Source organism: Homo sapiens, chromosome 11, assembly GCF_000001405.40.
Source record: "Homo sapiens chromosome 11, GRCh38.p14 Primary Assembly".
NCBI classification, from domain to species: Eukaryota; Metazoa; Chordata; class Mammalia; order Primates; family Hominidae; genus Homo; species Homo sapiens.
In genome coordinates this window covers 81,997,783-82,022,760 of record NC_000011.10, presented here as the reverse complement: position 1 = coordinate 82,022,760, position 24,978 = coordinate 81,997,783, and the positions used below count along the sequence as shown (strand labels likewise).

Genomic DNA, 24,978 nt, shown 5'->3' with positions numbered 1-24,978 from the left:
ATAGAAATATGTATATACCAAGTTGGATAGAGGCACAGAGGAGAAGTAGTTACAATCAGTTAAATGAGTCAGAGAAGATTCAAAGAGAAGTGTATATTTAAATTGTAGCATGTAAGAAAGAAGTTAGCTAGTATGGAAAAAGTAAGGAATTTCAGGGATGGAAACAAAATATGGCATGGTTGAGTATATACAAGTTATGAAATATGTGTGGACAGTTCTGTCTATGTAGGGGATAAGAGAGTTGAAGCTGGAGAAGACAGTAATAAGAGTTTGAAGGCCTAGCAAAGTATACTGATGATCAACAGTTAAAGCAAAAATCACCCAAACTTCAAAACTCTCTAATGATGTAGACTGTAGAGCCAAGACGAGAGTGCTAAATATTTATATAGTGTTAACAGTTGACAAAGCATTTTTTTTTTGAGATGAAATTTTGCCTTTGTTGCCCAGGCTGGAGTGCAGTGGCATGATCTCAGCTCACTGCAAACTCCGTCTCCCAAGTTCAAGTGATTCTCCTGCCTCAGCCTCCCGAGTAGCTGGGATTACAGACATGTGCCACCATGCCTGGCTAATTTTGTATTTTTAGTAGAGATGAGGTTTCACCATGTTGGACAGGCTGGTCTTAAACTCCTGACCTCAGGTGATCCACCTGCCTCCGCCTCCCAAATGCTGGGATTGCAGGCGTGAGTCACCATGCCCAGCCAACAAAGCATTTTAACATAGCTTAAGTTTCTAATCCTTATAAAATGTCCATAAATTAGGAAAAGGTAGACAATTGTTACTTTTTCATATGACAAGGCAACTGTCACTGAGAGATTCCAAGTGAGGTATTCAATTTCATACAGTAATAGGATGACCCATGAAAATTATCCATATTATCTGACATTAGGTCTTAGTATTATCACCACTTTGCTATTAATACACCTGCCACTACCCTCTGTTGGCTTTTGAGGTTTTAGAGACAGTTATTGCAGATCTTAGAGTTTGCTGACTTATAAAGTTTGTTCTTAGTGGTCCCTATTGTCTTTTACTACCATCAATTGTCCAGTTGTACTGTTCTAGGATTATGTCTTCCTCTGTCTTGCACTCCTGCATCTGTAGCATTTATTGTGTATTTTAATCACCTGAAACTCATAAAACAACTAATTGTGTATCACTTAACTTTGTGTATTATATAGCTTTAAAATAGTGCAAGTGTACTGTAGTTTAGAAATGGACCCTAAGTGAGCAACCATTCTCATAGATAACACAAGAATCTACTGAACATTTTTTCCCCCAGTTATTTAAACCTAGTGACTAAGCTGGCATAGCAATCACATCGACTCTCCAAAAACAGCCGAGAACAGCAAGGAAGCTGAGAAAGTGAATATGAGCTTCTCGTACATTGCTGAATCTTTACTCCAGATAGATGGCATCAATGTTACCTGGATGCCCCAACAGGTAGCTTTGGCACATATGGAAAACACAGACCTTCATTCAAGAGCATGTTGCAATGCTTCCCACTTTGTACAGCCCTTTTACAGTTATTTTCTACATCCTTTGCCACAGAGAAACTGTATATCTTTCGGTTATTCTTTCAATTACATCATCATTTTTAATGATGTCTATGTTTTAACATGAAAGCTTCTTGAAAATCATATTGGTAGAATATATCAAGTTGCTATTATATAACAATCTATCCTAAAGAAAAATTCTAAAATGCTAACAAAAAGTCTATATACAAAAATGTTCAGTGAGGTGTTACTTGTGATCATTGAAATTAGAAAAAAAAACAGCTTGATTACATACTCTATGCTTAATCAGTATCTTTTGAATGAGTAAGTTTAATGGCATGAAACATTTCTTCTCCTGGATTGTTTATAGTGTGCACACTATGCCTTCCTAAAAAGCCAGCAACTATTATGCTGTGATATTTTAATCATCCATCAAATGCCACACTCTATATGGGAATGGGTGATACCATACTATATAGGTTAAACAACATCCTTTTTAATGTGTGTCTTCTTAAAAAGACAATGCCTTATCATAGGGATGACAAGTATATGTTAGAGCCTGAACTGAGTTATTTTTCTCACACCCACAGACAATATCACTATAGTCATGTATTGCATAGTAACATTTCAGTTAATGATGAAATGCATATATGACTGTAGCCCCATAAGATAATAATACCATATTTTTACTATACCTTTTCTATGTTTGGATACACAAATTACTTAGCATTGTGTTGTAATCGCCTACAGTATTCAGTACAGTAACATGCTGTACAGATTCGTAGCTTGGAAGCAATAGAGTTTACCGTATAGCCTAGGTGTGTATTAGGCTATACCATCCAGGTTTGCATAAGTGCACTCTATAGTGTTTGCATGATGACAAAGTCGCATAATGAAGATGCATTCCTCAGAAGGTATCCCTATCAGGTGATGCATGACTATAATTCTACTGCTCGTTTCTGCCAAGCCCAGATATAGCCTTTTAATCCATTGCAACAAAGGGCTCAAGGATTGACTGGTCAATAGGTGTTCCATATATGATAAAATGGATTTACTATAAATTAGTGACTGTAAATGATATGAATGGTACATCCCTCTTCAAAACAGTCAGAAGTCAGAATGTGATTCCACAAGTCAATCACATTCAGAATTTCACATCCATGAGACAAAGCTTTGAGCTATGAAGATCTATAATTAAGTTCTGGCTCTACTACTGAATGTTTTCTGTACTTATGTAAGTCATCTAACTCTTTTGGATTTTGCCTTTTTGATAAAATAATTGAAATAAATGGTCATTCTACCAAGTCTTCTACAAAGACTACAAATGTAGTCTACTACCTTCTACAAAGTAATTCTACCTTTATGGGAGTCAAATAAACATGAGCTTTGGAAACTTAAGGCATTGTGCAAATGTGTGATCCCTATTTTTATTAATACCCATTTAGCAATCAATAAATAATATGGGACTTAATAGTGCATTCCCATACTAGGGCAAAATTTTGAAGACACAAAGTATACTAGAATACATACTCTGTCACTGGAGGGATTTATTCCAAGTGTATGTGTGTGTGTGTGTGTGTGTGTGTTTTAATGTTGTTATCATTAATGATGGTCTCTAAACTGCCTAATGGACATAGTAGTAGTTCAAGCAAGTAATGGTCAATTTTAATAAAACAGGCTGTTTTGATTGTTGTTTTGATTTTTAAATAAAATCAATCTAGTCATTTGACATTATATGAAAGCACTATATATAACAACATCATGATATTATGTATATAATTATATATAAACATTAAATATAAAAACAAAAGCAAATACATAAACAATAGTAGTTTTCACTTTATTAATATAATGTAATATTATGGTTATGTTTATCATTTTTAGCTTACCATTGAGAGGTTGTAAGAAGGAGGCATATTAAAATCAAATGTCCTCTTTAACTATCACCATCTTGACCTCCCAATAAGGTACTTTGTCTAAGTGATGCCATATGTCTTTTAGTTAATGCTCTATTCACTCCATTTCCCATAGCAGTGTGCACTGAAGTCTGTCAGTTCCAGCCATGCTTCTTCCACGTACGAGGCAGAGTTTATGTAAAGTACTGGCATTTTTTGACTTTCTGTTGCTGAGGCTGTAACCTAAAGCATAAAAATAAAATTAGAAAAACTAAAAGAAAACATAGGAAAATATCTTTACAATCTTGGGATGGCAAAAGTTGTTGAGAAAGGGAAACAATGACTAATAAAATGATTAGAAATAGGATTTTGGGCTTTGTCAGAAATAAAAAATAATAAAAATAATTATTTAATGATAAACAGTAGATTTAGAAAAATAAGAAGGCTGTGTGTGTGTGTGTGTGTGCGTGTGTGTGTGTGAAGCTTGCTGACTGGGAATATCTATATATGTATACACATTTATATACACAATCATTATATATAATATATATAATTATATTTAGAATATTTAAACAAATCCTACAAGTTAAAAAGACAAAATGAATTCAATGCTTAAATGAGAAAAATTTTGAATATAGAAACTTCGCAAAAGAAGGTATATGAAGGAAGAATAAGCTCATGAAATGATGCTCAACATGATTAATTATCAGGAAAAATGCAAATTAAAACCACAATGAGATTCCATTTCACACTTAGGAAAATAGCTAAAATTAAAAAGACTGTAAACAAAAATTGGCAAGAATAGCTGAAACTCTTGCTACTGCTGGTAGGACTATCAAATAGAGTAGCTACTTTGGAAAACTGGTGGGTTTTTTTTGAAAATTAAAAATAAGCCTACTCCAATCACCCAATTATACTCCTAGTTCTTTACTAAGGAGGAATGAAAATGTATGGCCATAAAACAACTCATACAAAATGTTTATAGCAGCTCTAATTGTATTAGCAAAAACAACACAAAAATATTAGAGCCATCCAACATCCCTCAAATGGATAATAGACATATGTATGATTTATAAAATACTCAAGAAGCAAAAGTAATTTATGGTGATACAAATTAGAAAAATAGTTGCCTGTGGAGAGGGTGAAGATTAGTTGAAAGAGGCATGAAAAAACTTTCTAAGGTAATATAAGTGTTCTATAACGTCTTTAGGTTGTTGGATACACACACATATACTTTTCCAAAACAGTAGCTTTTAAAATTAGGACCTGTGCATTTCACTGTACATAAAGTATACTTTAATTTAAATAATCATATTACCATGTGAGCCATAGAAGCAGTATTGGACCAGAACTCCAAGACATATGTTATTAACTTGACTCTTTCACTTAACTACAATTTTGATCTTAGAAAGTAGTTAATTCCTCTGTATCTCTGTTTCTTCATTTAAGGGTTTTAAATAATCGATTTTTAAGAGCCCTTTATTTGTAGTCTCTGTGAGTACAGGATCAATATTTATCTGTTCATGACCATGTCCTGAATAGCTTATACAATGCTTGGTATATAGTATTTGTGCATTGTTTTCATGAATTGAATTTGATGAAAATGTCATGTCTGTATGATTAGGCTGTTAGCTAACTAGTAATTCAGAACTCTCCTTTACACCTCTTATAGTAACTATTGTAACATTTTCCAAATTAAAAACACTAAATATTTGTTTAATGCTGGTGCTTCTAATTCATAATTTTTCCAGTTCTCATATGTATTTGAAAAATTTGAAGTTATAGTTTCTATCATGTCAGCTGTCATAAGCATCTAAATTTCGCAAATGTATGTATGTGAACGTGTATTTCAGATCTTGAGTCTAACAGCCTTTTTAACCTAATCATTCATACTACTTAAAGCACAATGTTAACATTTCATCTTTCATATGAGGTGATATTAACTGCAGATGAGATGATTATGATTTGGGATGCTTTTGATGTGTTTAGACAATGACAGGTCAATGAATGGTGTGATATTTAGAAACAAATAATTAATGATCACCAATATATCTTGTCACTGAACATACTAATTAGAAAAAGAACCTTAAAACATGGTTAGAGATAGAAGATACCTTAGAGATCACTGGATAGAACTACTCACTCCACAGCTTCAAAGCAAGGTTATGTCATTTCCCCATGATCAGAGAGTGAGCCAGAAATAGAGGCTGTCAAGGGACCCAGAGTGCATTCCTTCCACCAACTTATGCTCCCTTCTTGGTTCCCTTACTTCATGACCCCAGCACATAACCTATTATTTTACTATTTTATTCAGTGACAATAAGTACTTGGCCTTCTTGCTTCCAGTTTGTTTCCCCAGGTCATACTGTCCACGGCAGACATAACTAATAAATGATGGGTTTCCTCTTCATTGAGCCTGGACTTAGCTTCATTAACCCTTTCAGCAAAGCAGGACCACACAAGTTTTGGAGTAAGTTTGCAAAATAAAACCACAGTATATACTTTTGAGAAGTTATTGAAAAAGTACTATTTTCTCTACCAATGCATCTTATGGAGTATCGGGTCTGTAGATAATATTAAAACCAAAATACCTTTTATCTTAAAAATAAGCCTTTATGTATTTTTCTTCATGGAGTATACTTTTCTTGATTATTTATGAGAAACTTTGGTTCTGTAGAAGTAGTAAGTGTAAATAAAATAAATTTCAAAAGAAGAGATAATCAGTTAGATACAGATAAGGAGATGCTTCATGAAAAGAGCTCCTTGAAGAATTAATGAGTAGAATTAGCACTTCTAGAGATCTAGGGAAAATATAAGCAAAGTCACAACAAGAGCAAAGCCTGAGATAAACATGAGGTGGTGGTGAAAATGATCTACTTTGATGATAAAATACTATATATGATACCTGTCTGTGGGAAAACAATAGAAATTAGACTAAAACTGCAGTCATATTGTAGAAGGCAGTGAATACTCGGGAAGATCTGGAGCAGAAAAATGATGACTGGAACTTCCTTAGGAAACTTAATGTAGCAAAACATGTGAGAAACATGAATTGGAGAATAATTAATGAACCATGTGGAATTTACGTATGGCCATTTTTTTTAGGCATGTGAAACAAACAAAAGAAGCCGTGTTTTGGTCAGAGCAGTAACTGTCTTCTCACTGGAAATGGAATATGAGACTGCTTCCTGGCAGTCGGAAATTAGACTGGAGGAGCCAGGCTCTGGGGCTCACAGCTGTAATCTTAGCACTTTAGCAGACCAAAGTGGGAAGATCACTTGAGGCTGGGGGTTTAAGACCAGTGCCTGGGCAATGTAGCGAGACCTTATCTCTATAAAAAATAAATTTAGCCAAGTGTTGTGGCATGCACCTGTAGTCCCAGCTACTCAGGAGGCTGAGGCAGAGAAATCAATCACAGCCGGGAATTTGAGTTTACAGCATGCATTGATCACACCACTGCTCTCCAGCCTGGGTGACAGAGCAAAACCCTATCTCTGAAGAAAAGAAAAAGAAAAGTAAAAACATTAGGCTGGAGGCAGAGGACAATATTTAGGCATGAAATTCCAGCCCTGTTCTGACCAGCCTTCCAACAGTTGATTGCCTGAACACTTAGATACCTAGTCTTTCTCCTCCTCTTCCAGGCCTCTGTGCTCTTTCCCCTGTGGACAATAACTACCATTTCATCCTGGACACCCATTGTTTGCCTGGACCACACCTTGTTATGACCATAACCCTCAGTCAGACTCAACCTTCCTTCAAGATCTGCAGGTCAGTCAGCTCCCCCAGCACCAGTCCTGTTTTCAGTAAGCAAGTCCAAGCCTGAGGCCTTCCTTCCCTTCCCTAAATTGTTGTAAGGAAGCAGTCAGTATCAGACTGACATCTGTGCTACAAAAAAACCTGCTACTACTATGCCAACACACCGGGAGGGTTAGGTCCTCAAAGGGTGATTAGGGGTGGGTATAATAAATAACTAAGTGTATGTTTCTTGCCTTTCACAATGTACTACACAGTTTGATATGAAGCTATATGGGATGTTCACAAATTTTGGTGACCAGTGCAGATTATATTCATGACTAGCATTTCTCATTAGAGAAAAAAAATTAGAGGAAGCAAGAAGGCTTGCCTAACTGAACAGCATCTGTGTTGTATTATTTCCACCAAACTTCCTATTCTGTTCATTTCCGTATTCCTTAAGGACATGTTTTAAGAAATGTAAGAATATGTCTTAATTGGGTGAATTACTGGTTAGCTACAGAAGCTAGACTGAATCACAATGTTACAGTTTAATTACTCCAAAGTAGTAATCCTACTATGTACTTTGGAGGCCTAGATCTTTTAGTGATTCTGAACCACACCCACTCATCTTGTAGGCTTTTTAGGACAGCCTGTGATATGGTCAAGGGCTATCTCTTCAGCCTCACAGCTCAACACCCTTCAAGGGTGGTAATAAATCAACAATACTGAACTCCACGGGGCTCCACAGACCCAGGGGCTTGTCTCCAACCTCTAGAGTTTGTGCATGCTGCTCTCTTCTCCTGAAGTATCATTCCCAACATGTCTAGTGAATAAACACCTGCAGTCTTCAGTACCAAGCCAAAGCATCTCCTCCTGGAAGACTGTCTCAGATACAATATATATAATGGTTGTGGGCTGGAGCTTTGGAAGCAAACAGACGTAGTTCTCATTACTTACTAGCTGTGCAACCATGACTTGTTATCACTGCTCTGCACCTTAGGTTAATCATTTAGAAAATGAGATAAAAATCCCTAATACATACAATATATTTAGGATTACATGAAATAATACCTTTAAAGGACTTAATACCATAGTAACTACCCATTGAATAAAAACTCTAATTTTTGGCTGATAATCTAAGCAAAGTTGATTATTTTTTCATGTATCTCGTCTAATTTCTCAATTATCTACTCTTTTAAATTCATCGTACGTAATTGGAATTACTTCTTTAAAACTCTATCCCCATATTGATCTATGACTTCTTTAAAAATCAGCACTATGCTTCTTGGCTTTTAAATACCAAGCACTCAGCACCTTAGCACACAGTAAGATATCAATAAATATTTCTGCAATAATTAAATAAATAGACAATTAAATGGACAAATAAAAAGAGTACAAATACAGAATTGAATCCTCGCATTGTTACTTGCCAGTTTGGCAATTTGCTTACCCTTTCTAAGTTTCAGTATCCTCACTTGTATGTTAATTATGATGATAATATCTACATAATGTAGCTGTCATATGCTTTCTAGAGGATACTGCATATGTAAAGTGCTTTGTAAATTGTATTGATCTGCACAAGATTAATCAATAGTATTTTTATATTTTAATTGCTGATTTTTTTTATTTTGCATGATTTTCCTAGAGTGCTAGGATATTTGGCTAAATTTTATAACAATCTATTATTAAAGAGTAAGAGAAATGAGAATGTGCAATTAAAAGGAGGAAAAAGACCATCCTTTTTCTTGGCCTGAATAGATTTTGCTTGTCACAGAACCTGTCAGAGGTGGTGGTTGAATTCTGAAATTCACTAAGTTTGCAGGCATTTGCTTCTCACAGGGGATTCTTTAAAACACCTGCCTAAGAAAAGCTTGCTTCACAAGCTCTCTGTCAAATTTACTTCCAATTACCCTGTTTCCTCAAGGCAGTTATTTAAACTTTTGGAACTTGTAAGCCAAACTACTGGTCTTGTCTTGGCCCCGATGTTCTGTGTGTTTGCTGGCCACTATTACCCACGTGTCCTGGACCTTTATACCTTCTGGGTGAGTCAGAATCCGGAAAGGTTCTTTCTAGTACCTAAGATCCATTTTGTGAGTTTCTATCATCTGCCTACTGTGTGGCTATTCAACAGACTTGACCAATTCAAAAGATTTCTACTTAAATTTACCAAAATGATCACAGGGCTAAAAGGTAGGTGGGAATGGGTTCTAGCCCAAGGAAGGGAAAGTAAATAAATATTTATGGAGCATGTATTATGTGCTGCATGCTATCTTATATATTATAACAAAAATAAAATTATAAGGCCCCTCAACCCTCTGAATGGACACCTTCTCTCAACCCAGGGCATTCCAAAGTTAACTTGATAAATTATTTCAGGCTGTGAAGAGAAGGGGGTGTCAGGCGTGCCTCATTATATCCTCCTCCATTTTGGAATTCAGGAAAAGCCAACTAACATTAACATTACCACAGACCTTAAGTCTGATAAGAAATATTTACAATCTATTCTCTCCGAAGCCTGCTACCTGGAGACTTCAACTGCATGATCAAACATTGGTCTCCACAACCCCTTATTGTAACCCAGACATTCTTTTATATTGAAAATAACTCTTTCAACCAATTGCCAATCAGAAAAATTTTAGATCTACCTATGACCTGGAAGCCCCTGCTATGAGTTGTCCCACCCTTTTAGATGGAACCAATATAAGTCTTGCATGTATTGATTGATGTATTATGTCTCTCCAAAATGTATAAAAGCAAGCTTAGGCACATGTCATTATCAGGAACTCCTGAAGGTGTGTCACAGGTGCATCCTTAACCTTGGAAAAATAAACTTTCTAAATTGATTGAGACCTGTCTCAGATACTTTGGGATTAACAGTATTTATGTGTGTCACTTAACCTTTACACCAGCTCCAGGAATAAGCCAAGGATTGTTTAGTTCTTTTGACATGACAACTGAAGAAATTCGGTTTAGAGATTTTAATTAACTGTTCTAAAGTTAATCAGAGGCAAAGCTGGAATTCAGACCCATCTGAATCCAAAGTCTGAACTCTTTCAATGAAGCAGTTTTTCTTAATTCTTATGGGACCTGGTATCTGCTTTGTAACCTTCCCAAGTAATTTTGATGCATACCAACGGTATCCAGAAACCACTGGAGTGTGTCTTGTAGTCTCTCAGCTCAGTTAATAATTTGCTATTTGATTAGAAACAATCGTTTAGTCTTTGTAAGCATTTTTATACTTAGTAAAAAGGTTTTAAAAACTGCCCTAAATTCTTGAAAAGATTGCTCAATTCAATCCAACATACATTCATCAAATTCTATCAGTCAACTCAGCTTGCCCAAAGAGGAGCAACTGATTTCCATAAAGCATGTTTCTTGCTAATGCAGATCTTATTCTTCAGAATATATGACACTTTGGAAGTAAAGTGCCTTGACCTGGGATTAAGAGTAAAATATCTCCTATGGCTCAAGTGCCATAGAAGACAAACTAAAACCTTGTTATGAAAAGACAGTCACTTAGAAAGAAATGTATCAATTTGCGTGAAGAGGTCAAGGTTTTTCAAGAAGTAAAAGACCAGCTATCTACTCCCAGGAAGGTTTCCCCCTTCATCAGTTAGGCAGATTGGGTAGGGGATTGATTGCCTCAATTAAATCAGGAATTGAGCATTTACTGGCTAACTTGATTTTTTTTCCTTTTTTTCTTTTCTTTTCTTTTCTTTTTTCTTTTTTTTTTTTTTTGGAAAACTGGTCAGTATCTACCCTCTCAGCTTACAAAAACTTTAGGTGACGTATCTCTAACCTTGAGAGGTTTCCAAGTCTCCAACTTCATGCTCTAAGAAACTTCATATTCTGATAAATATCATGAGGAAAATATCTGCTATATAATTGAAGTTGATCTCTTCCCATGAAGAATATTGCTTCCTAGGTGTGCGCACACACACACACACACACACACACACACACACACACTCACACACTGTAGAAGATTTCATTTTCCTTTTCCTTTTGAAAGCTCTATAATTCCCCAGCCTCTGGGCAACCCTAGAATTCAGCATTTGTAAACCATCTTTGAGTTTGAGGTTCCCAAGTATTTAATTTGTTTCTCCAGACTTATATGGCCACTGAATGCATTGCTGGTTTCTTTCTTTCTTTCTTTCTTTCTTTTTTTTTTTTTTTTTTTTTTTGAGACGAAGTTTCACTCTTGTTGCCCAGGCTGGAGTGTAATGGCAGATCTTGACTCACTGCATCCTCCACCTCCCAGGGTCAAGTGATTCTCCTGCCTCAGCCTCCTGAGTAGCTAGCATTACAGGCATGCGTCACCATGCCTAGCTAATTTTGTATTTTTAGTAGAGATGGGGGTTTCTCCATGTTGGTCAGGCTTGTCTCGAACTCCCAACTGCAGGTGATCCACCTGCCTCGGCCTCCCAAAGTGCTGGGATTACAGGCATGAGCTACAGCGCCTGGCCTTGCTGATTTCCTTTTCCCTTTTAAAGGCCCTCTGCTTGTGCCAAACTCAATACTTAGAGGCTATGGGAAATTGTTGGGGTGGGGCAGAAGGGAGAAGAGGAAGGCAAGGAAGGGTTCTGCTAGAGATTATCAGTTCACCTAACAAAGGTTCTCTGCTCTGAAATTTTAATTTGTTAATTCTCGACTGTTTGTTAAGATTCTGATGTTTTTAAAACTAAAATACTAAAGTGTTATTTTTCTTGTTGTTAGAGAATGTTTGGCCTGCTATGACATATTATATCCTTCTAAGAGTTGAAATCTTTTATCAAATATTTTTGACATGAAATGCACACACTAAGGTGCACAAATTTTAGGTGACGGATGAATTTCTATAAAGTAGATACACTTCTGTCATCACTACCCTCATGAAAACATAAAATACTGTTAGCGCTCCAGACTTATTTTTTTTTGTGCCCCTTCCCAGTGCCAACTACTATCTTCTAAAGGTAACCATTATTTAATCACCTTTTCTCTGTGTTGAATATTTTAAATCTGGCAGATAAAAACTTGCATAGAGACTAGTTTAACTATTATTAACTACTCCAGTTTGTTATTTTAATGACGGTTTTGTCATATAGACTTCATACTCCAGAAACAGCTTGTCGAAGATGATTTCAACTGAATACATAAATCTAATAAAACCCATCACACTTTCCAAAGAATGAAAACATTTTGCATGTCATTTTTCTTGTGATAATGGTAAACCTCTAAATGATTTCAGGTCTTCATTTGCAGACGGCCGTTTCCTTTCTCAAGATCCTCTATTTTAAGCCCATCCTCCTTGAATTTGAACAGTTATCACAATTGGGGAAATGGTGAAAACATAGGCTGAGGTAATATGCAAAATTTAATATTGAATTTTGATCTTATCACTTTCCACCTACCTATACACTCTTGAGGAATTTGGTTAAATTCTTTGAACCCCATATCCCACAATTATAAAAGAGAATAGTTACATCTATTTTATTTGTTGTCCTGAGTAAATAAGGTAACTCACATAAAAGTCTCTGGCTCATGGTAGTTGACATTTACCCCCATGAAAAACCAGCTCAAGGCTAGAATCTATGAGCTGTTTTTATATAAACCATTGGTTACATTCATTTTAAGGCCATAGTATGCTGCTGCATCCCTGAGTCATTTATATTTGATATTTTATTATGAGGCAGGATATTAATCCAATTAAATTGATTACCATGGTGAAGTAAGAGACAAGGGGAAAAGGGTATTGTCAATTTAAAGGTTTGTGGAGTAGGGTTTTGAATCAGACCACTGCAAAGGTAGCTAGTTACCCAACAAAATGTTGTACATTTTTTCTATAGAGTAACGTTGCTGGGAAGCAGGAATCACATCACACACATGCACAGGTGTGCACGCACACACACACACACACACACACACACACTCCTTTGAATCTCAAAGGCAGAGAATGACAGATATTTTCTGTAAAGGACCAGGTAATAAATGTTTTAGGATTTGAGGACCAAACAGTTACCAGTCTCTGTCAGAACTACTCCACTCTCATTTTAGAATAAAAGCAGCAACCTTAGACAATATGTAAACAAATTAACATTCTAATAAAATGTTATTGATGGACACTAAAATGTACTATTTTTCTCAAAGTATTACTCTTCTTTTGATTTTTTTCAACTATTAAAAAACATAAAATTCATTCCCAGCTCACGAGTTATATAAAAACAGGTTTTGGCCTCTAACCCCTTTTTTAAGCAATGGCAGAGCCACAAAATGTAAGTGGCTTTGTTCCCAATCACCATGAAAAAGGTCACATGAAAAATACCTGTTTGGAATTGCTACATCGGCAAAAAAATAAGCTATGTGCAAAAACAGAAAATTTAATTAATAATAATTACATCTGTTAGTTTTATCTAAAGGGTGTGCTGCTGTAACATTAGGTAAACTACCTGCTACTGGCTTAGTTGATTGACTGAAAAACAGCTAGGAAAATTGTATCAAAAACTAGAAAGTTGAAGACTTGTGCACACAATGGAAAAATATTTAGTAATAATACCTCCTGCATTAACTGGGAAAGTAGATTATATACCTACTGAACCCATATCTCTATGAGAAGAACTTAAAAAGAACTAGAATGCTACAGTTTGTTGATTATTCCGGGCAGTTTATAACAATGAATGAAGAGACAGATGTGAGTTCAGGAAAGACTTTATCAGCTTGCAAGCAGAAATGAAAAAAAAAATAGATAAAATGTGGAATTCTTTTGTCTTTGAAATGTTAGAAAAACTGGAGCTTTTGAAAAGCTTATGAAACAGATTTCCCCATGTGGAAAATATAAAATTAATCCTCTTTACACGGTCAGCGTTCATTGTACCTAATTTTAGTGCTTTGACTCTTAAATATTTTAAGGAATGACATTACATATATTTTTGTATTTCCTTATGAATATTGCTAAGAATAAAGGGAACATTTACTTAATTTTAATTGAATAAAATTTATTGTATATAATTCAATTCAATTACCATATAGATTCATTGGACTATTTTGTAAAACAAGATCCATAATGGGACATTAGTAGCTTTCATCAAACTCTTATAAAGAATTCAGGATTTTTCTTTGTGTGCCCATAATGTCAAGGAAGAGACAACTGACAGAAAAAGAGTTTTTACAATTATTATGTGAATCAAAAATAAATGCAAAGAGGCAGAATGCAAAGAAGTGAAAGAGAAGCCATTATAACTAATGCCATAGAAATAAAATGGATCAGAACAAACTGAACTATTCTATACCAACAAATTGAATAACCTAGGATAATTGAATACATGCCAGAAACATACAATCTATTAAAACTGAATCATGAAGAAGTTGAAAATTTGAGCAGGAAAATAAGTATGTATATTTAATCAGTAATCAAAATCCTCCCAACAATAAAGAGTCCAGGGCCAGAGAGTTTCACTGGTGAATCCTACCGAACATTTAAAGAAGAAGTAACAAGAATCCTTCGCAAATCTTCCAGAAACCTGAGGATGAGGGAGTACTTCCAAACTCATCTTATGAGACCAGTAATACTCTGATACCAAAGCCAGTAAAAGGCAGTAGAAGAAAAAAAAATATATTTCCGAGTGATGTCTCTAAGGAACATAGTTGCAAACATCCTCAACAAAACACTAAAATAAATATTTGGTTATTCTGTGTTAAAAGAGAAAAGGAAGGTGGCATATATAAATAACAACAAAAAAGACATGATACATAACAAAGAAGGAAACAAGTAACTGAACACAGAAAATAATCGTAGTGAATCACCTCCATTAGAACAATTATATAAGGCAAGAAGATACATAAACCCAGTGCCCAATGTGGCCATTCCGGACAGGGTCAGTGTGGTCAAAAGAAAATCAAACTGTGCAACAAGGCTAGTGAACTCTCGGCCCAGTGAGGAGAATGGCCATCACTAACGGGAAAGTCTCCAAGAGAAAACAGGAAATGACAGATTACGTAGTGAGACTGAAGTTGTTGAAAAATTGTTTTGAGGCGATTTTAGAATATACAGGAAGAGTACAAACAAAATAAGCAAATAACAAAAATGACAAGTATTTGTTCAGGAAAAACAAAAAGTAGAAAAGGAAATATAATTAAATATACTTCAATTCTCAGTTTATAAATAATCTTTCATATAATCATTTCATATAATGTAAACACAGTCTATATAATATAAATACGAAATAATGATATTGAGACAATGGGAGAGGGGAGGCAGAAGGGATGGCATTTTTCAATTAGAAAATTCACAGGCACTTTCACAGCAATTCAAAAGATAATTTCTGAATTTTATTAATGAAAATAAAACATACATTATTTTAAAAGACTTGAAAGAGGTCATCTTTGGGAGGGGTAACCAGGAGAGTAGGAAGGTGTGGGGTTGGAATGCAACAGCATTTTTTGTAAATCTTTTGTATACTTTCATTTGATAAAACAAATATTACAATACATAAATATAATTTTATAATAAATAAACCATATTAGTTTGTTAAAGTAATGTTAATTTTAAATAGTTTGACCTGGAATTTATGTCATTTAAAAAATGACTTATAAAAGTGTTATAAAATTTTGTAAATATAAATATTATTTGCCAAAATTATGTTTATAGTAATAAACTCAAATTTCTTATCAAAATGTGAAAAAAAATTAGGGTTAGAATATTTAATATTTTTTATTTTATTTATTTATTTATTTTGGAGACAGGGTCTTGCTCTGTCGCCCAGGCTGGACTGCAATGGCATCATCTCAGCTCACTGCAACCTCCACCTCCTGGGTTCAAGTGATTCTCCTGCCTCAGCCTCCTGAGTAGCTGGGATTACAGGTGTGCACCACCATGCCCAGCTAATTTTTGCATTTTTTAGTAGAGACGTGGTTTCACCATGTTGGCCAAGCTGGTCTTGAACTCCTGCCATCAGTTGATCCGCCCACCTTGGCCTCCAAATAATACTTTTCCATATAAACCTAATATTTAAAAAGCCAAGTTTCATATAGTTGCAAAAATCATCAACAAAACACTGAAATAAATATTTGCTTCATCTGTGTTAACATAAAAAGAGAAGGGATAAAGAAAAAAATAAACAGACATGATACATAGAAAGAAAGAAACTAGTAACTGAACACAGGAAATAATTACAGGGAATCTCCTGCATGATAGTGTTTGTATAAGGCAAAAAGATAAACATACACTCGAACTCCTGGTTTTCTCAAATATACTGTATAAATATAATTTTTTATGTACCACAGTGTGAAAATATTTGGGAAGCACTGACCTAAACTATCCCTCCTTTCAATTCTTATGATCATAAAATAAAATATGAGAGTTAAACTACTTGCCACAGTTAATAAACATTATTTTCGTAGTCATTTCTTTGCTTTTGAAAAGCTGCCTGAGTTTTGAAGGTAATAAAATCCAAGATATTGAGTAGCATTTCCAGGCTAGTCTCCAAAGCCTATTTACTCCATTCTATTGCTGAAAATAATATGATTGATTTAGATTTTAATGACTTAATATTTTTTGAAGTTTACATATCTTTATCGCACCTAGTATACTGTCTGAAACACAGTAGATACTTAATAAATGTTTATCAAAGTAGGAAAGCATTTCAGCCACCGTTTGAGGTACATGAACTTTTTTGAACTGACCAGGAAGTCTAATGATTCCTTCAATTATTGACTTCTCTCTCTATGACTAGGATATATTTTTAAATTTTGCTTCTCAAATAACATCAGAAGAATATTAGATATTTATCTTCAAGGGCTTTTATGTACTGAGTTAACAGTCAAGTTATTTAACGACCATTATACTATGAGCATCATCCAATTTAGATGGCTACCCTATTGATAAAAAGTAATTAAAATACTACAAAGATGAAAATAATACAATTAATACACATAGCACAAGCCAAGGCATATTGTAGACAATCAATTCTAATTTTATTTTTCTTTTTTGGAGAATATTATGTTTCAACCTCTAAACTATTTAACCTAAATAGATTAAGCCTATTTAGAACTCTTACTATTCTTGCATATGATGGTGAATTTCTTATCTATAATCAATGCTTTTAAAGAGGGCTTAGTTTCTCTGAACAAGTTATAGGTAGAGAAGTAGTTTTCTGAGCTACTGAATCAGCAAAAAGAAAGAGGGCACATTCAGTAGCATTAATGCAGTATGTGATATGTCTCATCACTATTGAATGAAGAGGCAGGAAATTACAGACCCATATAAAATGATGGGGTGTTGGGAATTTTATCAAATTTGCTTATTCACTTCAGCAGTATCTTAGTTCAGTGACACTGGGCTCATCGTTGTACTCTCTCAACTGAGTGCTCAATCTGTACTGCTATCATTTTATTAGGTTGGTGCAAAAGTAACTGCAGTTTTTGCCATTGCTTTTAATATGAATAATACTCAATACTTGCTCCTTTCCTCTTTCCAAATTTGATTTTAGTTTCACCACTCCCTACCCTAGTCACAGCCTCTGCTAACTCAGGAGAGTCTTTATCACTGTTGTTGTCATGATCATCTTCATTTGCCATTGCTCTTAATATAACTATAGAGAAACAGAAATGACTCAAGCACTTTCTTTGATTCTATAACCTGGTTCCACCTCACTCATCTTAAGATAGAACGCCAATCTTAAGTCTTCCTCACTAACCTTCCTGTTCCCAACACTAGCACTTTCTTCACCATTACTCTGAATTGTGTCACCACTATCACCCCATCATCTCCCCAGTATCATCTTTATCACATTTAGAGTAATTCAGCTTTCACCACCACCATTACGTGCAATAAATAGGTGCATGACTAATGTGGCAGAAAGCATGATTTATCAGAAAGCCCAGGCACAGACTATATTTATGAAAAACCAGTTTGAAATATTGACTTCCTTCCCAGAAATGTTTCCCTTGTACCACAAACTGACATCCACCCATGGTGCGAGGCCACCTTTCTATACATAGCCTAGTATCTTACCTTTGCCAATGTTGCTGACTCAATACTTGCTCCTTTCCTGGTTCCAAACTTGATTTTAGTTTCTCCACTCCCTGCGCTAGTCAAAGCCTCTGCTAACTCAAGACAGCTTTTATCATTGTTGTTGTCATAATCATATTCATTATCCACTGATTGCATAGAAATCTTAGTTTTCAGTTTGCTTTCACATAAGTCACATTTATTCTGGCCCCCTGATATGCATTCATACATGATCTTTCCTCTTCCTACACCAATTATTAAACCTTGTACTTTCCTCATTTTCTTCATTTTGGATGTCTTTTCCAGGAAACCATCTGTATCAGGAAGGGTTCCAATAGGAAACAGATGGCACACTTGAAATTGGATTATTTGAGGAAAGTTTATTTTAAAGGTGGTCAACTATAGAATTTGAGTGTTGGAGAACTGCAAAGACAAAATAGTAACAAAGGATTACCATCTCTAGGCCTAATGGAATAAGTGGAAGGTATTGGTAACAATATCCAGAAAGGAAATCATGTTCTTAAGTGAATACAGCTGGAAGGCAAAGGACTCCCGTGAGGGGTGGGGCATGGCGGGCTCCAGTAAACAAAGTTTTCTCCTGCTGGCACCAAAGCAGCCTGCTGGTTCCCACACTTGTTTGCTCATGCGCTCCCTCCCATGAAGAGTTGAACACTTCAGGCTGAGTAATCAGGACACCCTGTCGCGAGTCCTGTGAAGGGGTCAAGAAAATATCCTGCATCATTTGGGGGCTCATGTGGGATTCATCAGAAGAGTGAGTAAATGCAGATCTTACTCTGCTTTTTTTTCCCCAAAAGTTCTTGTCCTCAGACTTTCCTCTGAAGGCAAATGACACATCGAAACTCTGAGTCGTCACTTAAGGGTGAATGACACAGCTATGGAGGACAGGATGTGAACCTGCCCCCTCTCTCTTTTGGGTGAAAGGAATGTTGGCTCCATTTTTCTTCACAGAGGTCTAGCTGTCATGTGGGACTGAAATAAAGTCCTGGGGCAATTGAAGGCATCTGGCTGAGCAACACTCCCCAGTGTTGCAGGAAGAACCCTAGACTTGGCTTAATCCCCAACCACCTATTAGGGTGTCAGCTAATACCCCCAGAGTCTTCTATGATATTTTTCCTTTCTTCTTTCACAGTTTGAAATGACTCCTTTCTCTCCTTTTATAATGTTAAGGTTATATTGCTACAACCTGCAGGAATATTACTCGGTAGAATGAGCATTTGGCTAAGCCATCAGATATGCAATTCAGAACAATGCAATTTCCATCTTTTCTTAGAGATGCTACTCCAACATCCACTCCATCAGCTGCAGGCATGCACAGCACATGGCGGCTCTCCTTTGCTCCCTCTCCCAGCTTGGGTGCTTGGGTGTGTACACAGCATGCACATGGCGCAGCTAACGGCCATGAGGGGTGGCAAGGATCCATGGCCACCGCAGGAGCCCCAGACCAGACTCGGGGGCCCCACACGGTTAGTTGACCAGTGTTTCCCACTTGCCAACCCCTCCTGCCACGTGCCCACAGAGTCTTTCCTCCCCTGGCCAAGGGGTCTAGCTCCTTCCAAACCAGAGGAAGGTTACAGTGATTAAAAGAATCCATTTGCGTAGAGCAAGAGGTTCTTCCCCCAGCGTCCCCCACTTGTGCTTAAGCTGTTTTTTCTTTTTCTATTCAAGGGGAAGTTTTTTCCTACCTTTGAACTCTGCTTGTGGTAGGGAAGCAGTGGAGGAGCGACCCTGCTGGCTGATGACTGAAAATGTGGCAAGGCCCCCTGGGACTTAATCTAAACGAATCCATGTATCCCCCAAGACACCTTTTTGTCCTCAACTTGATTCCAAGCTTCAGGTTGAAGCCCTAGAAAGGAAAACTAGATCTAAGGGATCCAAAGGCAGGCAAAAGGCAAAGCATAGATGGGCAGGACTAATTCCTGCCTATTAAGTCCTTGTTTCATGTAAGAAGGCCATGCTCCATGGCATAGATGAGGCCCAGGGAACCCAAAAGTTTCCAGCAGTAGGGGGAATGGAGGCGTAGGTGAGTGCAAATAATTCCTATCCTCTAGCCGCCCCCTTGCCTCATGGATGCATGTTGCACTGGCACCCATGTGCAATTTGGGGTTAAAAAGGGGATAAAAAGATGAAAGACAAAAAGGGGGATACCCTTTTTTCTCTTCTTCACACACTGGGTTTTTGCTGAAAGGCGGAAGGAAATGAGAGATGCCTATTTCTCTTTCTTTCAGAACAAGCAACCAACCATCTTGACCATCCTCAGTTTATACTCCTCTGGAGTGTATCCTGAATCACTGGGACTGTTTGACCCTCAGACTCTGGAGGAAATATACTTCATAGCCTTTTGCACAAATGTTTGGCCAAATTATGATCTGCAGGAAATTATGATCTGCCTCTGGAAGGAGCTATTCATTTTGATACCATCCAGTAGTTGGATCTTTTCTGTAAACATGAGGGCAAATGATCTGAGGCCCCATATGCGCAGGCCTTTCTTACCTTGCCAGGTAATCCAGGCCTTTTCCACCAATGTAGGATTGATCCAACCCTCCTGTTTGCCATCTCAGGAGAGGCTGCAAGGGGAAATCCCAGGGAACTAAAGAAACAAGCCCCAGAGGCACCTCTAACAGGGGAGCCAGCTCCCTCTGGCCCTGCTCCTCTGGGTCCACCATGTCCTCCCTATCCAGTTTCTCTCTCTTGCTTGCCCCCTTCTAGAACTCCTCACCCTAGACAAGCCCCAGCCTCACTCTTGCCCCTCCAACAGATTCCTATTGAATTTGGCCCCGGTAAGGTCCAGATCCCCTTCACTCTACAGGACTTCAGAAAAATTAAGGGGGTCTTGGCAAGTTTTCAGATGATCCTGACAGATATATAGAGGCTTTCTAGAATTTAACTCTAGCATTTGAACTCTCCCTGAAAGATGTTGTTACTTTTGAATCAAACCCTGCTTAAAACTGAGAGGCAGGCTGCTCTGCAAACAGCAGAGAGATTTGAGGATGAGCTTTGTATGTCATATAGTATCAGGGAAAGGGACAAACTTTATTTAACTGGAAGAGAAGTGGTACCATCAGAGGGCTCTAAATAGGCTCCCAGTGATGAGATGGAAGAATAGAAGAGGAAACACTTTCAGTGTGCATAATGGAGGGCTTATGTGGGGCTAGAACTAAGCCTCTCAATTTTACCAAGCTATCTATGATAGACCAGGGATTTGATGAGAACCCCACTGCCTTTCTGGAAAGGCTAAGAGGGACCCTGGTAAAGCACACCTCTGTATCTCCTGATTCAGCAGAGGAACAACTAATCCTAAAGGATAAATTTATTACGCAGACAGCCTCTGATATCAGGAGGAAGCTATAGAAACAGGCCCTGGACCAGATAGTAGTTTAGAGAACCTCCTGAAAGTGGTCACCTTGGTCTTTTACAACAGAGACAGGAGGCCCAGGGGAGAGAAAGGAGACACAGGAAAGTGGCAGAGGCTTTAATGACTACTACAAAGCCCACAAACCCCAGAATCCCTGAAGTGCCCCTGTTAACTGCTACAATATGGCAAGCCAGGGCACTTTAGGAAGGATTTCCCAGGCAGCATGAGGAAGCCACCTCGACCCTGTCTAATCTGCAATGGGAACCACTGGAAGGCAGACTGTTCCAGGGGACCCTGGTCACTGGGTCCAGAGCCAATCTCTCAAATGGTCCAGCAGGACTGATGGGTTCCAGGGCTCCTCCCCACTGGCTCCAGTGGTCCAGACCACCATTACCATACAAGAACCCCAGGTAATTCTGGAAATCAAAATTCTGGAAATTCTGGAGTGGGTCTTTTGGTTCTCCTCACCAATCCAGGCCCCCTTCCTCTCTTAGCACAACAGTGAGGAGTGTCTCAGGAAGGCCTTTAACTTGATGTTTTTCCCAGTCCCTTAGTTGTAGTTGGGGAGACCACTTGTTCACCCATGCCTTTCTAATTTTGCCTGAAAGCCTAACTCCTCTGTTGGGCAGGGATATTCTGGCTCACATGGGGACCACCATCCTGATGGCCCCAGGAAAAACTCTTTGTCTCCCCGTAGTAAAGACCAATATTAACCCAGAAATTTGGGCAATTCGAGGGAAAATTGGCCGAGCCACACACAACTGCCATAGTGGTCTGGATCCATCATAAGGATCCCACCTCCTTTCCTAACCAGAAACAGTATCTCCTGAAACCAGAACTTAGGAAAGGAATGGAAGCCATCATCGATATTTAAGGTTGAAGGGCCTCCTCAAACCCTGCTATAGCCCTTGTAATACCCAGATATTGGGAGTATAAAAGCCCAAGAAGGAATGGAGACTGGTCCAGGACCTCCACTTCATTAATGAGGCTGTGGTTCCAGTTCACCCAGTGGTTCCCACTCCATATGCTCTACTAGCTCAAATACCTGAGGGGACTAAATGGTTCACAGTCCTGGACCTAAAGGATGCCTTCCTTTGCATACCATTATACCTCAACTCCCAGTATTTGTTTTCATTTGAGGATCCCTCCAACCAGACTACCCAGCTAACCTGGACAATGTTATGTCAGGGATTCTGAGACAGCCCCGACTTGTTTGAGCAGGCATTGTCAAAAGGCCTCTCTGAGTTCCTTTCTCTTCAGGTTAAAGTTTTATAATACATAGATGACATTCTCCTCTGTGCCCCAACTGAGGAAAACTCTCAGGAGGACAGTAAGGCTCTTATTAATTTTCTGGGTAACAGAGGAAATAAGGTTTCAAAATCTAAAGCTCGGCTCTGTCAGACTTCAGTGAAGTATCTAGGTCTGGTCTTGTCAGAGGGGACCAGGGCATTAGGTAAATAAAGAATTAAGCCCATCTCCTCCTTTCCCCTCCCCTAAGCCCTCAAGCAACTGAGAGGATTCTTGGGAATTACAGGATTCTGCAGACTATGGATACCTGGGTACAGTGAAATGGCTTGTTTTTTTTTATATCACCTAGTTAACGAGACTGAGGCAGCTAAAACTCACCCTCTAATTTGGAAACCGGAGACTAGACAGGTCTTTGTCCTTGCTTAAGGCACCAGCCCCCTTAATCTTCCCATAGAAAGACTTTTAATCTTTATGTGTCAGAAAGGAAGGAAATGACCCTGGGAGTTCTAACCCAGGCCCAGGGTCCAGCCTAGCAGCCTGTGGGCTACCTAAGTAGAGAGCTTGATTTGGTAGCCAGTCGATGACCAGCCTGCCTCCAGGCAGTCACAGTGATAGCGTTGCTAGTACCAGAATCTACTAAGTTAACCATGAGGAATAGCTTAACTGTTTACACCCCATATAATGTGGCAGGACTACTGTCTTCTAAGGGAGAATCTCTTGTTAGCAGACAACCGCCTCCTCAGATATCAAGCTTTGCTATTAGAGGGATCTGCAGTACCATTAAGAATTCGTCCCTCCCTAAATCCAGCCACCTTCCTCCTCAAGGAAGGTAGGGAACTCAAACATGATTGGAAACAGATAGTAGTAGAAACCTATGTGACCAGAGGGGACCTCACGGAAACCCCTTTAGAGAAGCTAGACTGGATTATCTATGGATGGAAGTTCTTTTGTAGAATAAGGGATCCATAAAGCAGAGTATATGTAATAGTTACCCTAAATGATGTTGTTGAGAATGTGTCCCTCTCCTCAGGCACAAGTGTTCAACTAGCCAAGCTAATTGCCCTCACAAGGGCACTCGAGTTAAGCAAAAGGAAAGCAGTTAACATTTATAAAGATTCTAAGTACATTTTCCTAGTTTTTCATATGCATGTCCCTATCTGGAAAGACAGGAACTCTTCATAGCTAACAGGTCTCCCATTAAATACCATCAAGGAATTAGTAGACTATTATCCTCAGTTTTCCTCCTATGGGAAGTGGCAGTAATACATTGTAAAGGCCACCAAAAAAGGATGGATGAAATAGCTGAGGGAAACAGGTTGGCAGACCAAGCAGCTAAATAAGGAGAAAGAGGGCCCCAGATTTTGGTTCCACTTGAAGACTTTCTGATTTGGGAGGGCTCCATAAGAGAAATAAAACCTCAATATTCTCCTGCGGAAATAGAATGGGCCACCTCTTGGGGGATACATCTCTCAGTCCTCAGCATGGCTACAATTGGAGGATGACAAGCTTCATCTACCAGCTGCCAATCAATGGAAAGCTTTTAAAAAGCCTTCACTAGACCTTCCACCTGGGTAAGGATAAAACCTATCAATTAGCCAGAGGTCATTCTCAGGTAAAAACCTGATACAAATGGTTAAACAGGTCATTAATGCTTGCAAGACTTGTCTTAAAACTAATCCCCTCAATTGATGGCTTCTTTCCCTCAGGACCCAAACAATAGGATGCTACCTGCAGAAAGGCTGGTAAATGGATTTCACCCAGATGCCAAAGGCAAAGGGCATCCTGTACCTCCAAGTATGGATAGATACCTTCACTAACTGGATAGAAGCATTTGCATGTCAGACAGAGAAAGGCTTTGATGTGATAAAAGTACTAATTAATATGATACTTCCTCTCTTTTGACTCCCTAAGTACCTCCAGAGCGATAATGGCCCCTTGTTCAAGGTGGCTGTCACCAAGGGGGTCTCAAGGGCACTATTCATGCAATATCATCTTCATTGTGCTTGGAGATCACAATCCTTGGGAAAAGTAGAAAAGACAAATGATGTCATCAAAAGGCACCTCAGGAAACTGTCTCTGGGGACTCATCTCCCGGACTACCCTTCTTGCCATAGCCCTACTACATGTTAGAAACACCTCTTTAAAGCTGGGTTTGAGTCCCTTTGAAATGATGTATGGACAGCCTTTTTCATCAGCGATTTTTTTGCTAGACCAAGAAACCTCTGATTTGATTAAACATATAACTTCTTTGGT

The 24,978-nt window shown here is 37.9% G+C and overlaps 1 long non-coding RNA gene across 1 annotated transcript in view, besides 1 other annotated feature; it reads left to right on the top strand.

Annotated features, from left to right (window-relative positions):
• The window catches only part of MIR4300HG (MIR4300 host gene), a 524,063-nt gene that overhangs the window by 381,153 nt on the left and 117,932 nt on the right, over positions 1 to 24,978 (top strand). Inside the window, exon 6 of the long non-coding RNA NR_120571.1 lies at positions 7,027 to 7,153. This is a non-coding gene — a long non-coding RNA (MIR4300 host gene). The remainder of the gene's footprint in view (positions 1 to 7,026; positions 7,154 to 24,978) is intronic.
• Positions 18,433 to 19,632: an enhancer, noted in NCBI's record as "P300/CBP strongly-dependent group 1 enhancer chr11:81714171-81715370 (GRCh37/hg19 assembly coordinates)". NCBI's record gives its function as "activates an origin of replication core promoter dependent on BRD2, BRD4, P300/CBP, MED14 and CDK7 cofactors, with strong dependence on P300/CBP, by STARR-seq in HCT116 cells {active_cell/tissue: HCT116}" and the evidence as "EXISTENCE:reporter gene assay evidence [ECO:0000049][PMID:35650434]".